The 18,232-nt window shown below is 43.3% G+C and overlaps 1 protein-coding gene across 11 annotated transcripts in view; it reads left to right on the top strand.

Moving 5' to 3' along the window:
* The window catches only part of ANKRD29 (ankyrin repeat domain 29), a 63,986-nt gene that overhangs the window by 29,126 nt on the left and 16,628 nt on the right, over nt 1–18,232 (top strand). For 7 of the 11 annotated variants that reach the window (XM_017025561.2, XM_011525830.3, NM_001308238.2 and 4 more), the window contains 3 exons: nt 3,835–3,933; nt 14,157–14,255; nt 15,959–16,054. In XM_017025561.2, coding sequence (XP_016881050.1) covers nt 3,835–3,933; nt 14,157–14,255; nt 15,959–16,054 — 294 coding nt within the window. Of the gene's footprint in view, nt 1–3,834; nt 3,934–14,156; nt 14,256–14,997; nt 16,055–18,232 lie in introns of those variants that run through there. The other 4 variants (XM_047437308.1, XM_047437306.1, XM_047437304.1 and 1 more) reach the window with 3 other exon arrangements.

Below are 18,232 nucleotides of genomic sequence, written 5' to 3'. Positions count from 1 at the left end.
CAGCCTGGCCAACATGGTGAAACCCCGGCTCTACTAAAAATACAAAACTTAGCCGGGGATGGTAGCGGGTGCCTGTAATCCCAGCTACTCAGGAGGCTGAGGCAGGAGAATCGCTTGAACCCAGGAGGTGAAGGTTGCGGTGAGCTGAGATCACACCATTGCACTCCAGCCTGGGTGACATAGTGAGACTCTGTCCCCCACCGACAAAAAATGAAACCATTTATCTTATTTACCCATCTTTGTTCTCCCTTTTAAATCTGTTGTGCAGATGAAACATTTCGTGTACCTATGCAATTAAGGCCTTCAAAAATCATGTGATACTTATTCGTACCATGACAAACTACAAAGCCCAGCATATGGACTTGCTGAAAACCAAAATATACAAAATTTTTCTAAATGCGCTCATTGGATATAAAAATATACTGTTGTAGTATTTGTGAGGAAGGGCACAAAGAGGAGAAATCTAAGGTATTTGGTAGAAAAGTGAGGTTGGATGGATGAAGACCTCTGTGAAATATACACATGCCATTGACCTGTGAAAGGCATCCACTGCTAGTGCGGGTCTGTTTGCAGCTAACTGTCAATTAGTACATCATCACCCAAGGGCCTTTCAATTGATTGTCGCTATAATGCCATAGGATTTATGGCAAACATTACTCCAGTTTTGTAAGCGAAAATAGAATATAGGGAGATGAATAGACTTGACAGTCTCATGGTGAAGAGTGGAAAAATTCCTACTTCCAATTATCTAGGAACCGTATTTTAGGCTGTCCTACAGGTAGGCATTTAACCCTTATGCCTGGGGCACTATACTTTCATAGACATGTAATGAGCTCTGTAGGTGTGAACTTTTCCATTTGAACACCCTTTCCAGAGTTTACATGGTTAACCCTGACAAATCACAGGCCTCTTTGAAATTCATAGCAGCTAGCCTCACCCTCTGCACTTCAAAATCTGTAACACACTTTGAGCCTGCAACATTACCAGTAGAATGATTGAATTACTTGATAATGATCTAAAGAGGCGATTCTCAACTCTGGCTGCCCATTAGAATTATCTGGGAAAGTTTAAAAAAATACTATTTTGAGGCCCACTCCAGACCAACAAAACTGGAGTCTCTGAAGGCACAGCTTGGGCAACAGGTAGTTCTCACATGTAGCCTAATCTAAGAAGCACAGGTCTAAAGGTTAGATATGTCTTTGGCTATATATAGGTAGAGTATATCTGAGAGTGTGTAATATATATATATATACACACACACACACACACACTGAATAGGAAAAGCCAAAGTGTTTGGTGAAAAGAAAAGCCCCTTCCCATAGTAATTTCCTCTCTGTTTTAAGGTGACTCAAGAAATTTCATGCATTATAACTTCCATTTTATATTAAGACCTTTACCTTTACCCAAACAATCTAAATATTTTCTTAAAAACGATTGAAATATGGATGGGCGGGGCAGAACCAAAACTTGGAATGCACAGTGAAAAATTCAATGCATGGGTAGTTCATCTTGGAAAATTCCTGAGAGTTAAAAAAAAATTAAAAAAAGAAAAAGAAAAAGAAAATTGCTGAGAGTTTTCAGCAGCTAAGGACATGGTAGACTTTCCGAAAATGTTATCCCCATATAAAACATCTGCTTGAAAATCTGTACAGGCTGATTAATTTCTTAATGATTGCCTGGAGGGCAGTTTGGCAGCTCTGCTGACGCCCACTGAAAATCCAGGACCCTCCACGTGACACACGTGGCTGGACTTGCAGGGAAACATGTCTTATATTTTTGCTTGAGGTTAGTGTTCCCAATGGGAGGTGTGGTAATTAGCTGGGTTTGCTAGGTGTTTTCCTCTAGGGTGTGCTCTGGTTTTCCACCGTGGTCTGAAAACAATGAAGCTCACCCTGCGCTGCGAATGTTGTCAGGCTGAAGGGAGCATCCGGGGATCATGCTCTCAGCTGATCCACACGTCTGCCGAAAGCACCGAGTGACATGTGTCCAAGAAAACAGAAATGCCCAGAAGGCATAGATACTCAGTTAAGACGAAAACTAAAGAGCACTGGAAAAGGGGCACTTGCTCTGGGCTTTATGCAGGAGTGCTTTTTTGTGTTTATAGGTGTTGTTGGTGTCTGCTGGGCTGGCAGAGAGCCACTTTGTGGAGATGGTTTCTAGGGCAGTTGTATTGAAAACATCTTTCAGGGTTCTTTTGTGTTTTGTCTTGTTTTGTCTTGTTTTGTTTTAGAGACAGGGTCATCTGGATATGGTGGCTCATGCCTGTAATCCTAGTGCTTTGGGAGGCAGAGGCAGGAGGATCGCTTGAGCCCAAGAGTTCGAGACCAGCCTGGGCAACATAGCAAGACCCTGTCTCTACTATAAATTTTTTTAAAAAATTAACTGGATGTGGTGATGCACGCCTGTAGTCCCAACAACTCAGGAGGCTGAGGTGGGAGGATCGCTTGAGCTGAGGAAGTTGACGCTGCATTGAGCTGTGGTCGTACCACTACACTCAAGGTCTGAGTGACAGAGGGAGACCCTGTCTCAAAAAAAAAAAAAAAGAAGAGAGAGAGAGACAAGGTCTTGCTATGTTTCCAGGGCTGGTCTTGAACTCCTGGGCTCAAGCAATCCCCCTGCCTCAGCCTCTTGAGTAGTTGGGACCACAGGTGTATGCCATCGTACCCAGCTGCATATTGTATCTTAATTCTTGCAGAACCCTCATGTTGGGGGAACAAGGATAAGGGGACAAGAAAGAGAAAAGGGTAGGAAAGATCTAATTAAAAGGACACCTTTTACTCTCAATTTTTTTTTCTTTTTTTTCTTTTTTTTTTTTTTTGAGACAGGGTCTCACTTTGTTCCCTAAGCCTGGAGTGCAATGGCCCAAACATGGCTCACTGTAACCTCAACTTCCCAGGCTCAAGTGATCCTCCTGCCTCAGTGCCCCCAAGTAGCTGGGACTATAAGCACATGCCACCTCGCCCAGCTAATTAAAAAAAAAAAGAATTTTTAGAAATTTAAAAATATATTAAAAATAAATTTTTTAAAAATGAGGTTTGGGGGATTTGTATATCTAACATTTGGCTCTTCATTGACAAAAAGGTGGAAACCTACAAAGAGATGGAGATGGAAAATTATATTAAATGTGTATATTTTAAATCTAATTTATTTTATTTTATTTATTTTGAGACAGAGTCTCACTCTGTTGCCCAGGCTGGAATGCAGTGATGCAATCTTGGCTCACTGTAACCTCCACCTCCTGGGTTCAAGAGATTCTTCTGCCTCAGCCTCCCGAGTACCTGGGATTACAGGTATGCAGCACCACACCTGGCTAATTTTTGTATTTTTATTTGTTTTTTGTTTTTTGATTTTTTGTTTTTTGAGGAGGAGTTTTGCTCTTTTGCCCAGGCTGGAATGAAGTGGCGCGATCTCAGCTCACTGCAACCTCTGCCTCCAGGTGCAAGCGATTCTCCTGCCTCAGCCTCCGGAGTAGCTGGGATTATAGGTGCCCGCCACCACGCCTGGCTAATTATTTTGTATTTTTAGTAGAGATGGGGTATCGCCCTGTTGGCCAGGCTGGTCTCGAACTCCGGATGTCAGGTGATCCACCTGCCTCGGCCTCCCAAAGTGCTAGGATTACAGGCGTGAGCCGCCGTGCCCAGCCTAATTTTTGTGTTTTTAGCAGAGACGGGATTTCACCATATTGGCCAGGCTGGTCTCTATCTCCTGGATTCACCTACCTAGGCCTCCCAAAGTGCTGTGATTACAGGCATGAGCCACTGCACCCGCCCTAATTTCTTTTAAAATAAGTGTGAAAGATAATGTTTTTAATGCTTTTAATTTGTTCTCTCTCAGGATGGAGCCACTGCCCTCTTCCTAGCTGCCCAAGGTGGTTACTTGGATGTTATTCGATTACTGCTGGCTTCAGGAGCAAAAGTCAACCAGCCAAGGCAGGTAATGTCCACTGTTGACATTTGCCCGAGCACATGGCGCATGGGGCAGGGAGGGCTGGGTGTCCGCTGGCAGCACATACCTGAGATAACCAGTAAGCTCAAGGCATCCTTTAAACCCTTCTGCTTCTGTGATGAAAAGTTAATCTTTGATTAGGGTATCTCCTGTTCTATGCTCTGAGCTGGCCTGAAAGCCTATGAAACCAAGCTGACATCACAGTTCAGTACTTTCAAAACTTAAGTATTTGATGTCTGAGGTCAAGTACACAAGTACACACTCTGCCACCTCCTGTGCAAACAAATTATGGCTGCACTGATCTAATGAGTGCAGGCTGGCCTGGGACATAGGTAAACAGATGTGGGCCAAGTAGCCTGGCCCCTGCTGATAATGCTGCCTTACTACCTGCCCACCACTTCTTCCACCAAGCCAAAGAGGAGCCCATGCCGTTGGAATCATTAGGAGGTTCTGCACCTTCATCTCTCACAATTGTTATGCTGTTGAGACTTCATTTACCAACAGCAAGCTAACAGCTAGCAATTCAATTAACTGAAAGTAAAAGAACAGAAATGTAGTCTGGGAGTGGTGGCTCATGCCTATAATCCCAGCACCCTGGGAGGCCGAGGCAGGAGGATCACTTGAGGCCAGGAGTTTGAGGCCAGCCTGGCCAACATGATGAAACCCCGTCTCTACTAAAAATACAAAAATTAGCCAGGCGCGGTGGCGCATGCCTGTAATCCCAGCTACTTGGGAGGCTGAGGCAGGAGAATCACTTGAACCTGGGAAGCAGAAGTTGCAATGAGCCGAGATCGCGCCTCTGCACTCCAGTCTTGGCAATAGAACAAGACTCTGTCTCAAAAAAAGAGTAATGATTTTTAAAAAGAAGAAAAAAGAACAGAAATGCAAGATTATACAGGCAGCACTTTATAAACAGTGAAGAACCTTCCAAATGTACAGTATTATAATTAGCTTCTCTTGTGTAGGTACTATTTTTGTCCAGATTAACTTTTTTTTTTTTTTTTTTTGAGACAGCGTCTTGCTCTGTCATCCAGGCTGGAGTGTGGTGGCATGATCTCGACCCATTGTAACCTTCGCCTCCTGGGTTCTTGTGCCTCAGCCTCCCAAATAGCTAGGATTACAGGTGCATGCCACCATGCCCAGCTAATTTTTGTATTTTTAGTAGAGATACATTTTGGTAGAGAGCCATGTTGCCCAGGCTGGTCTCGAACTCCTGGCCTCAAGTGATCCACACACCTTGGGCTCCCAAAGTGCTGGGGTTACAAGTGTGAGCCACCATGCCTGGCACCAGATTAATTTATTTTTAACAAAACATTTCGAATTAAGGAAACATTACTATAAAGGTAGTTTCCTAGGAAAAAGTCAAGCTGATTTCATACCCAGGCACATCTCCACTGTACTATGACCTGATACAGGAATGCCTCTCTGTGTTCACATAATGAATAGCTATGAGAACTTTAAGGTTGGTCTGAGCTCTTGGACACAGGTTTCTCTGGTCTTTAGAAGCCCAAGCACATAAGGAGCCTGAGAAAAATAAAGAGCCTTTGGGCAGAGTGGTTTGAAGTCAGGAAAGCAAAGTGGTTTTGAGGTCAGGAATCCCAAGTTCTCAATCCATCTCTGCCAATAATTTGAGCTGTGTGGTTTTGAACAAGTGAATCAACCTCTCTGGGCCTGACTTTCATCATTGAAAATTAGGAGGCTGAGCAGCATGAGCCTGATGATCTCTTCAAATGCCCACATTTTAAATAATTGTTTTATTCAACATTCAATCAATATTTCTTGAGTACTTACCATGTGCCAGACATTGTAATCAATGTAATGTATCAATGTAAGGTTATATTTTTAGAATTGTAAAGTTATTCTTAGGTGGCCCCAGGAATACTCCTGGGAAAGGAAGCAGTTTCAAAAAAACTTTTACTTTCGTCCTGCTAGAGTTGACTTTCGAGGACTGGAGTTTAATATTTTCGTATTGGTCCTTCTTATTTTGTTATTGTTGATTGATTCTGAATCAGATGATTCATTTTACTAAAATTAGTAAAAGGAATTGGTTATTTTTAGATTGCCTAAGTTTGATTTGGGGGCCATTATTGAAGATACCACTGTGAATTTAGAATGTGAGGTTATCAAGATTATCAAGTCTCTCTATTAGTACATCCTTCCAAAATAATTTCTGGCACTTTGAATTTTATTCTTTATATGCCTAAAGTACTGCTTGTAAAAAACCAAGTCGATATAAGAGATTATATTTCAAATGTTGCATGAGCCATGCCCACTTAAACCTAAAATGAGTCATGCCGTGATGTTGAAGCCAAGAAGTTAAAGAGTAAACCAACATTGCAGCAGTAGCCACAACACGCCATAGCTGTTTTTTCTTCCTCAAGAGTTAGGATAACCTGGTCAAAGTGGATGACCTAGTCTTTGAGTGCAGGGATCCACCCTCTGGTCAAGGAGCAAGTGCTACAACTTCTAAAGACTGCATCTAATGAAATTGTTTTGAATTATTTTGAGTTCAGCCCTAAAAGAATTGTTATTCAGGAAAAGGGTGTCTTATAAAATAAGAATTGCTTTGGGGAAAAAAGGCAATGGAATTTTTCCTTTTTACAGAGTACACTCACCCCATTGTGCCCTCAAATCATAATAATTTTTATTACCTACTGTGAGCTTATAATTAGAGGTTGTTATCTATCCAGGTCAGACTAGCTCAAGTTCCGTCTTCTCTGAAAGTGTAAACTCTGCATATTTATTATGTTCCAAGAAAACAGTGCCATGCCTGCACATGGCCTGCACATGGCCTACCTATATTCTATAGGTAGAGCATTTGGAAACCAATGTTTTATTCTGAAATCTCAGCTGACACATTGAGTCATTATTGGAAAATCCTTGAATTTACAAAATGAGGACAGGAATACCTGCCTGGTTTAATTTCCTAATACTTTTGGCTAAATCTGATTTGTAATTGTTGCACTGACATTCTATGAAGCCCTACCATTTTATTACGGTATCCTGTAACAGGATGTTGACAAAGTTACATTGAAATTACTCAGCTGACATTTGATATGAGCTTCAGGGAATCTGAACGGTAGTGGGATGACTTTTCTTTGTAACTCTATCACTGAGAACTAAATGAAGACCTTTTTAGTACTTTGGGATGAGGAATCATAATCCCAAATCTAGTCATAGCCAGACAGTAGGAAGACTATGTTCTTGATTTGAAACTTCAAAAAATATTTTCCTTCCATATTGTCCTAAGCCAAAAGGTCAAGAGTCACAGAGATCATTGAAATATAGATTTCACTCTAACAATTCATTTTCATTTCTTTCCACGTGTCCTCACCAAGTTGAGTTGCTATGAGTCAGACCTTTTTAATCACTAGCTGAGTGGCTATTTCTATTTTTCTATTAACCAAATGCCTCGACATATATTTTCCCAACTCCACTCACCCACCTTATTAAAACAATACTTTAATAGAATGCAAAGGTCTGATCCTGTTAACCCAGAGCTGAGGTTAGTCAGTTAACTCATCTCTATCTAGTCTTTTTCATGTGCTAAACAGTATTTCTTTGAAGGCTGGAGGAAAAGTCATCTAATAAAGTGCCATCTCCTAACAGAAGCCTTGACTTGTACACAGAGTAGCTGGACCCAGAAATTAAACGTTCTCCCAGGTCGGAAGCTTAGAGGGGTGAATCCATCAATGGCAGTGGGAGAAGGAGCCAAAAGATTAGCGTAGAATCCTGGGGGTTTGGAAATGGGAACAGACAGCCATAGGAAGTCCTTGCTGCTTGGCAAGGGCAGGGACTCTGTCTTGTTTCGTTTGCACATGGTACACACTCAGAAAAAGTGTATCGACTGCCAGAAGATCCCCATGGCTGGTGCAGAGCAGGTCTGGAAGCCTGCAGCATTTAGTGATCAGTGCCTGAGAGTTAGAAGAAGGCTCCAGATATAGGGCCCAGACTCATAAGCATAAGCCCCAGGAAGACTGTAAGAGGCAGCTAGGGAGCAGACCCAGATTTTTTGGGTGGAGAGCAGCTTGGAAATTATGGGGATATAGATATCTTAAAATGAAACAGAGGCCCCATTTTGCTTATTAACTGTGTGACCTTAGCAGGTTGCCTACTGTCCCTGAGTCTCAGTATTTTAGGACTACTGTGATAATTAAATAAAATAATCCCTGCAAAACTCTTAATGCAGTAGCTGATACACACCCAGTGCAATGTTAGGTATTGCTGTTATTATCATTCCTATTCCAACCAGGCCTCATTGGAACAGAAAACCCATCAGAAATCAAGGCTGCACTTTCTCTAGTGAGTCGTGTGTTCTCTGTCATCTCAAAGTCTCTTCATATCTCTGTTTCTCCCCACTCCTTTCTTTTTTTACCAGTTTTGTCTGCTTACTTATCTTGTATGTGGTCCCCAGGTTTATGGATCAGACTGCCAACCTCTGGGAATAGCCATGTCATTGTCACAGCTCATCTTTGTGCACCAGGCCACAGTGACTGGCTGGCCTGCCTATCCTCAGTCCCATCACCCTTGACTGGGGAGGATAGAGTCAGACCATGGGCAATGCAGCATCTGGTAAAATCTCTTACAGACCCATTTGCTGGGCCAGGCACACGGTGCAAGGGACAATCATAAGAAATAGGCTCCAGGGCAGGGTAGGGTGGGTAAGAAAATTATCTCAATATTGAACTCCCTCTGCCACGGGCAGGATTCCTCACAGCTCTTGGACTCCCAACTTCAAATAGAATTGGTCCCCAAGACTTTCTGACTGGCCTAACCCTGTAGGTAGAAGTAACCCAAGTGTGACGGCTGGAAATCGTAGAAGCAAAGAGCTAGTGCCGCTTCAGATACTCATTCCCACAGAAGAGGATGGTTTTAGTTCTTTTTTCCAAATACTCTCAGGAGCCTACATAAGACCATACAAGGTTAGTCTCTAATACAGGTTGTGTCATATACTCCATCTCATGCTGTGATCTGGCTGTAAAAGTGATCTCGAATGAAATGAGGGAATAACAGAGTTGGAGGAAACTATAAAACTCACTCTATTTAGCCATCCATCGGTACTCGAATCCTTTCTATGATAATCAGCTACTGTTGAACACCTCTAGGCATGGAGAACTCACTCCTCTCTGATCAGTTTCTTTGGTCTTAGCCAACACTCATTAAACTTTTATACATTGACCCCAAGTCTCCATGCAGCTTTCACCCATCTGTCTTCTTTCTATCACTTGGTCTGAAAAATTGGTCTAAATCCTTTTCTACTTGATATACACACACATAGTAAAAGACAGCTATCATAACCCCATGAATCTCATTCTTCTTCAGGCTAAATGTTCTATTACCTTTTTTTTTTTTTTTTTTTTTTTTTTTTTTTTTTGAGATGGAGTCTCACTCTGTCGCCCAGGCTGGAGTGCAGAGGCATGATCTTGGCTCACTGCAACATCTGCCTCCCGGGCTCAAGTGATTCTCCTGCCTCAGAATCCTGAGTTGCTGGGACTACAGGCATGCACCACCACACCCGGCTAACTTTTGTATTTTTAGTTGAGACAGAGTTTTGCCATATTGGCCAGGCTAGTCTCAAACTCCAGGCCTCAAGTGATTTGCCCCACCTCGGCCTCCCAAAGTGCTGGGATTACAGGTGTGAACCACCATGCCTGGCCATTACCTTTTTAAAAAAAGTGCTGTAGAGGTTATAACTTCACAATGATTTCTTTGATTTAATATCAAAGTATTAAAAATATCAAAGTATATGGAAGTATTCAAAAGCCTATTTGAATATTTTTAAATGTTTTTTCACATTTTGGTACATTCCAAAACTCTACAAAAAGGAGCTAAATTGACTTACTTTTCATCATTTTCAAAATTATTTTTATATGTTTAATTTAAAAAAATATATAAAATCGCCAGACGCGGTGGCTAACACCTGTAATCCCAGCACTTTGGGAGGCCGAGGCGGGCAGATTACAAGATCAGGAGATCGAGACCAACCTGCCTAACACGGTGAAACCCCATCTCTACTAAAAATAAAAAAAAATTAGCCGGGCGTGGTGGTGGGCACCTGTAGTCCCAGCTACTCGGGAGGCTGAGGCAGGAGAATGGCGTGAACCCGGGAGGCGGAGCTTGCAGTGAGCCAAGATTGTGCCACTGCACTCCAGCCTGGGCGACAGAGCAAGACTCCGTCTCAAAAAAAAAAAACATATGAAATCATTGTTCTTTTTTTTATAGAGATGGGGGCCTCACTGTGTTGCTGAGGCTGATCTTGAACTCCTGGGCTCAAGCCATCCTCCCGCCTTGGCCCCCCAAAGTGCTGGGATTACAGGTGTGAGCCACTGCACCCCATCATTTTCATGATGAAAATGAAGGCTCTAACCATTATACCAGAAGGAAAAAATAAGAGAAAACAGAAATTAAGGTGTACAAAAGAGGAAAACCTCTCCTAATTCATAAACTAAATAATCAACTGATAGGTAATCTGATTTGACAATAATGCTCTAACTCACATGCAACTCCCTGGGCTCCAAAATCAGATTTGGAGATGTAATGACTAGTAATGAAATACACAGGCGGCCCCCAAATCTCATTTTCCCACTCATTCCTACCTGCTCACAGTCAGTTATCTCACAGGGTCGATGGAAGAATCAAATTAAAAAGCATATGGAAGTATTTTGTGAACAAAAGTACAAATTAAGGGGCGTATTGTTTCTCATGATAAATACTACTCAGATGCAATTAACATTTCCTAAGCATCTGTGAGCCAGTGCTCATGCTCACCACCTTTGTATATGTTTTCTCACTTATCTCTGCGAAGCTAATAATTTTTCCTAAGAGGACACTCACTCAGGCTGAGATGATTTGCCTAAGGTCTTACAGCCAGGAAGAACTGATTGCTTTTTCCACCTCCCATGACTATTCCAATTAAGATGATATATTTGATGAGTGTTATCATTGATGTTCTAAATTGATAATAATAATTTTTTGGCCAGGCACAGTGGCTCATGCTTGTAATCCCAGCACTGTGGGAGACCAAGGCGGGTGGATCACTTGAGGTCAGGAGTTTGAGACCAGCCTGGCCAACATGGTGAAACCCCGTCTCTACTTAAAATACAAAAATTAGCCGGGTGTGGTGGTGCATGCCTGTAGTCTCAGCCTCTCGGGAGGCTGAGGCAGGAGGATCTCTGGAATCTGGGTGGTGGAGGTTGCAGTGATCTGAGATGGCACCACTGCACTCCAGCCTGGGCAACAGAGCAAGACTCCATGATAGGTAGGTAGGTAGGTAGATAGATAGATAATTTTTCACAATATAGCACCTTTTAGCACTTTCCCACATATTAGTTTCAATTGTTAATACAAGTTTACTAATAATGACCAAGCCATTGAAAAGCACATTGAATAGACAGCTGGCTGCCTCTCCCTGCCCGCCCTCTGGTGGAGAGAGTGACAAAGAACAAAACAGACCCAGAGCAGGCACGGAGGGAGAAGCGCATTAGTATTGGCACCAGCTTGGACCCACACTCCCCTCCTGCCTTCCAGGGTCCCACCCGCACCCCTCTGGCTACAGCAGCTAGATTTCCCACCCTGCATGAAGGAGCCATGCCTGTCCAAGCCACTGTGACTGTAGCTGCTTTTCCTTCTCCTTCAAACGACCCTTCCCCTTTCTCACACCTAGCAAAATCCTGGTCCTTCTTCAAGACCTGGATCAGATAGCACTCTATCCAGGACACTGAGCCCTCATTCCCCATGCAGCAGCCCTCCCACCTGTTTGATTTTGTGCATTTTTGTCCATACTTTATGATGGCACTGCAGTCGTATGGAAACCTCCATGTCTCTTCTCCAGGACTTATTTTTAGCACTCTGCTTGAGACTTAGAAGGCTGGGCTCACACCTGTAATCTCAGCACTTTGGGAGGCTGAGGTGGGAGGATTGCTGGAGGCCAAGAGTTCAAGAACAACTTAGGCAACAAAGCAAGGCCCCATCTCTACAAAAAGAAAAAAAGAAAAAAAAATTAGCTGGGCATGGTGGTGCACACCTGTAGTCTCAGCTACTAGGAAGGCTGAGATAGGAGGGTCATTTGAGCCCAGGATGTTGAGGCTACAGTGAGCCTTGATCATGCCACTGTACTCCAGTCTAGGTAACAGAGTCCTGTCTCAAATAATAATTATCATTATTGGTTGCTTGAATTATTGATTAATTAAATCCTGAATTGGGAAAATCAAATAAAGAATATGGAAGTGCTTTTAAACTAAAGTACAAATTAAAGTACAAATTGCTCATGATAATATTTAGATTCAAGAATATTTCCACCAAGAGGACCCTGGAAAAATTATGAAGTAAGTTAAAGTGTCTTCCACTTCCCTCTATCCTTTGTTTCAGCACCTCTTCCACTGTCTCTCCCAAGACAGGTCCCAACATCCTGTGACTGCTCTTCAGCACCCCCAGATCCTCCTGGGCTCCCAAGTCACCAGCTTCCCCGACCCAGCTCAGATGTCTTCATCCTCTCTCCCTTTCCTGGGACAGCAGTGGGCAACAATCTTGTGCCTGCTTCTGCTAGTAGGCTAAGGTTGAAATTACACACTGCAGCAGAAAATGTAACTTTATATTCTATAACTGAATCATTTTGCTCTTCAGCCCCCCTTCCCCCGATGGGTAATTCAGTCTTATCTGGCTAAAACAGTCTCTTGGGGCATATTACCATAATTACCTCAGAGGTTACCTTTAGCCCATTCTGGATCCTGCTCCCTCCTGCCTTTCTCTCCGAAGGGACCTAAGAGTCAGACTATCATCCTGGCATTGAGATGGGGGTGGAGAGCCTCATGCGTGGCCCTTGTGCTGGTCCACAAGCGTCCTGCACTCTTACACCCCAGGGTTGCAGCTGGTCTCGCCATTCTCTGCTGGCCTGGCCATTGTATCTACTCAGGAAGTCAGGGCACTGTGGCCTTGCCTTCCCGACACCAGGCTCACTCCAGCCGACTGTTTCTCTGTCACTTCTGATTTCCCATAGGCAGACGGGACTCCTGGATGCCTAGGTGCTAGGTGGATGTGGGCCATGGGGACTGGGGGACCACTGACTCTGAAACTCCCACGGCCATTTCTCTCCTATCTCCCGGGCACCAGCAGAGAGCAGAACTCTAAAGGGCTTGTAACTTTCCTGGTTTCTCACAAGAAGAGAAAATCCTTTCCCATCTGGAATTCCCCATAACTGACCTGATGTTTCTTCCACAACCTAGGTTACCTCTCCCCCACAACACACGCGAGATTCAACGCAGAGGGGGAAGAAAACGTGGACACTCTCACGTGACCTCCGCCTTCCCCCTCCCTCTCTAGCTCCTTCACACATTGGAAGGCTTTCCCAGTTTCCATCCCATCTGCTGGGAACCACCCTACTGTCAAATCCTTCCCCATCCCTTGCATGTTTTACTTTTTTCTCCTCTGAAGCAATATATCTCCACCTCATGGCCCAGTGTGCACAGAGATAGCAATATTGGGGAAATACTCCCAAATATACGCAGAGGAAATATTCCCCAAAATGCTGTCCTGCCGTAACTAGTTTATGTGCATCACTTCCTAGAAGACACAACAACAGATTCCACCTAAAATTAAGCCCCCTAAGAAATGAGGTGGCTTTGGAGGGTTCTGGACACCAGACTAGAAGAGTAGGAGAAATGACTTGAGTTCTCTGACCCGCAGACCCCACCTCAAAGAAAACTGCCTGCGTTCTATGGGAATGAAGGGTGTATTTTGTGAACATTAAGGTGTGACCCACTGGGAAAGCAAAGAAATGGACAGTCTTGGGGGAATAGGCCGGCTTCTCTCTGGGTTTGTGGAATTTGGTTCTGCTGTGGTGTATGTATACAGGTCAGCTGCTCCCCCAAGCCTTCAAAGCAAGGTTCCCACGCATCTTTCCATGAAGTCTGTACCACCCTTTTTGGTAAAAGATCCAGCCACAAAATGGATGATTTTATAAGCCAAAATTTGAATACTGGCAATTATTCAAGTAGCCCAGGCTCAGCCACGTGCCGTCTGCGTCCGTGGGCTACACACACCCCCTCTTTTCTCACTGCCTCCTGGGCGGTGTGGATCAGCTGCAGAGTGTGATCTGCGGTCAGGGAGTGCCTTCCCGGAGTTTTCGCTTTCAGACCCCTGGTGTTAAAGACGTTCTGTGAGCGGGTGGGGCCGGGCGCCCCAGTCACGGCGGCCGCCGCCTCCTCTTCCCGCAGGACGGGACAGCGCCCCTGTGGATCGCGTCCCAGATGGGCCACAGCGAGGTGGTGCGGGTGATGCTGCTGCGCGGAGCCGACCGCGACGCTGCGCGGAACGTGAGTGCCCGAGTCGCGCGGCCAAAGAGCGAAGCCTCCCGGCGCGCCTGTGTGGAGAAAACGGGTCTTGACTGAGTCTGCAGCCCACATGGGTTTCCTCCCAACCTCCTTCCTTGAGCAGGAAAACAAAGTCAAGGTCTGATTCGGTGCTGCTCGGTCTCTCTCCTCCTCCACCCGAGATGACCTTGGGACGCACTAGAGAGGGTGGAATCTTAGCCTTAGGCCTGAGGGCGGTAGAGACGGGGCCTCCCGCCTGTCCTGGGGGCCTCCCGCCTGTCCTGGGGGCCTCCCGGCTGTCCTGGGGCGTGTCCTAGGGGGATCCCCTGGCTGGTGCTGCGCCTCCTGCAGGCCCTGCCTCTTGCCCCTCCTCCCTGGAGCTGCAGACCCCTTGCACCCCGTCCCCTGTTGGCCCGCCGTCATCCACTGGCCTCTGCTGGTGCCACCTAATACTGCCTTTGTGTGCTGCACAGCAGGCCCTTTTCCCCATAAGGAAGGCTTGAAGAGAACCTGACCACCTATGCTGTTTGCTTTTTGTGTTTTACTGTGGCCTTTGTATAACCCTTGCTTACGTAACCCACCTTCCCCTCTCCAAGTCTAAGCTCCAAAAAAGGGAAATCACCAGACGCGTTCGCCACCATTTCACTGCCCTCTCTCTCACTCTTCTTCTTCCCACAATCTCTGAAGCCAGAAAAGACCCCCACCCCCCGCCCCCCAATTCATTCTTCCTTCTTTCTGATTACAGATAAACCCTAATGGCAGGCCGAAGTGGTTTCTTGGCTACGGGAGAATTATGGACTAAATCCTCCAAACACAGCGACTGATATGTGAAAATGGGAGAAAAAGGAATTTGGAAACTGTGTTCTTGAGCCAAAAAATAACGACAGAAGCTAAATATTAATTTTTGAATTTGGCTTTTCATTCTTTTTAGCAGATTTTATTTTATTTTTTTCTGAGACAGAGTCTCACTCTGTCACCCAGGCTGGAGTGCAGTGGCACGGTCTCAGCTCACTGTAACTTCCGCCTCTGGGTTCAAGTGATTCTCGTGCCTCAGCCTCCCGAGTAGCTGGGACTACAGGCACGGGCTACCACACCCGGCTATTGTATTTTTGGTAGAGACGGGGTTTCAAGTGACCCTCCTGCCTTGGCCTTCCAAAGTGCTAGAATTACAGGCGTGAGCCACTGCACCTGGCCTTTTAGCAGATTTTAATCTATCACCTCTGCCCCTAAGCCCCACTACCCACACACGGGCGGATGCCTAGAGCAGACTAGGGCAAGGCTGTATAAATTTTTTTAGAAACAGTAAATACAGCTCAACAATGATCTAAATTATTAAAGACAGTTAACCATTTCTGCTAAGTTATGAACAGCCGAGAATGCCTCTTTGGTCCAACCATGGCCTAAAAATATGCTCTTGAAATTCCCCTTGTCCCCTGCCCAGTGTTCTCAGGAACTGTAGAAGTATGAATTCCCAAATGGCAGAGTTCTAACATAATCTAAGTCACTGTTTATCTGATACTCTTTCATGCAGAATTTACTGCTTAATATTCTCTAAAATGCTCCTAGATTAAGAGACATTGCTGATCTGTGCTTAATTTACACGTCATTAGTTTCTGACAACGGTACTTTCCAGTTCCCAACTGACTGCTTTCAAGCAACACAGATATATGTTAATAATCAACTTTTATTTTCCTCTTTCTGTTAAGGATGGCACAACAGCATTATTGAAAGCAGCCAACAAAGGGTATAATGATGTCATAAAAGAGTTGCTTAAATTCTCACCCACTCTTGGTATTTTGAAGGTAAGACCTAAAGATAAATTTTACTAATCTGTAAGAGAGAGGTTAGAAAGTAAGTCCTCACTTGGGGACTGTGTCGAATTTGGGTGCAGTTAGCCTGGTTAGTTGGATTCTTGAAAGAACACACCTGCAGCTTCTTGATGCTGGAGATCCCAGGGGCTCTGGTAGAAGTGGGGAGGTGGTAGAAAGAGTGAACCACAGTCTGTCATTACCTAGTTTTGCAGAAAAAAAAAAATCGACAGTAGTAATGAAATAGCTAATTGGAAAGTATGCCATTTTGACACCATTTGGAGGATTTGTGAAATCAAGGAAGAAGAACAGACACTTATGTCTGTTCTCTTCATTTTCTTAAGCAAAGAACCACTCTGTTTTGTTCCCTTAAGTGAAATAAAATAAGCCTCAAACACCTGGAAGCCTCAGAAAATATGTCAGTATGGATACCTGGGTCACCTAAAAAACAGAGCCAAAACTCTTTTTTTAAGTTTTGATCTTTTTGTTTTGTTTTGTTTTGCTTTTTTGAGATGGAGTCTCCCTTTGTAGCCCAGACTGGAGTGCAATGGCACGATCTCGGCTCACTGCAACCTCTGCCTCCCAGGTTCAAGTGATTCTCCTGTCTCAGCCTCCCAAGTAGGTGGGATTACAGGCACGCTGCCACCACACCCAGCTTTTTGTATTTTTAGTAGAGACGGGGTTTCACCATATTGGCCAGGCTGGTCTTGAACTCCTGACCTCAAGTGATCCACTTGCCTCAGCCTCCCAAAGTGCTGGGATTACTGGCATGAGCCACCCTATCTGGCCTAAATTTTGATCATTTTTGATTAAAATATTTCTAACCTATATTATATATCAGGAGTCAGCAAACTTTTTCTGTAAAGTCTTAATAAATATTAGTATTTCTGTTTACTAATATAATTATATTATTGATTATATTAATTTTATTATATTATATTATTTATTATATTAATAGTAATGCTTACTAACATTTTAGTAAATATTACTAAATAGTAAATAGTAATAAATATTACTAATTACTAATATATTTACTACAGTAAAGATATATTTATTAATATATAAATATTACTATAGGAAATATATACTACAGAATGTATTTACTATACACTATATATATAGTATATATAGTATATATATATATATACTGTATATATAGTGTATATATATATATACTATATATATATAGTATAAATTTACATTTTTTCAGAGACAGGGTTTCACTCTGTTGCCCAAGCTTGAGTACAGTGATGCAATCATAGCTCACAGTAATCTTGAATTCTTGCGCTCAAGTAATCCTCCTGCCTCGGCTGGGACTACAGCCACACACCACTGCACCCATCTAATTTTTAAATTTGTTGTAGAGATAGGGTCTCACTATATTGTCCAAGCTGGTCTCAAACTCCCAGCCTTAAGCAATCCTCCTGCCTTGACCAGGAGGCATATTAGTATATGGCATATATTTACTATATATAGTAAATTATATACTGTAAATACATACTATATAATATATAGTACATATAGTATGGATGTATTATATACATACAGTATGTATAGAGTATACATACATACAGTATGTGTAGAGTATACATACATACATACGGTATGTGTAGAGTATGCATACATACATACGGTATGTGTAGAGTATGCATACATACATACGGTATGTGTAGAGTATGCATACATACATACGGTATGTGTAGAGTATGCATACATACATACGGTATGTGTAGAGTATGCATACATACATAGTATATATACATACATATAGTATGTATATATTATATACTATATAATATATACATACTATATAGTATATACTATATAATATAAATATATACTATATATACTATAGAGTAAATATTTATGTCTAGTAATATTTACTGAAATGTTAGTGAATATTACTGTTACCAGATAGCAAATATTTTAGGCTGTGTGGGCCATACAAGTCTCTCCCAACTGCCCCAACTCTGCTGTGGTAATCCAAAAGTAACCATAGAAAATACAACAAAAAGGCCCAGTGCGGTGGCTCACACCTGTAATCCCAGCACTTTGGGAGGCTGAGGCAGGTGGATCGCTTGAATCCAAGAGTTCCAAACCAGCCTGGGCAACATAGCTAGACTCCATCTCCACAAAAAATGTTTTTAAAATTAACTGGTCATGATGGCATGC

This window comes from Homo sapiens, chromosome 18 (genome assembly GCF_000001405.40).
Source record: "Homo sapiens chromosome 18, GRCh38.p14 Primary Assembly".
Lineage (NCBI taxonomy): Eukaryota > Metazoa > Chordata > Mammalia > Primates > Hominidae > Homo > Homo sapiens.
Note: the sequence above shows the minus strand (reverse complement) of the source record. Positions and strands in the feature narration are given on the sequence as shown.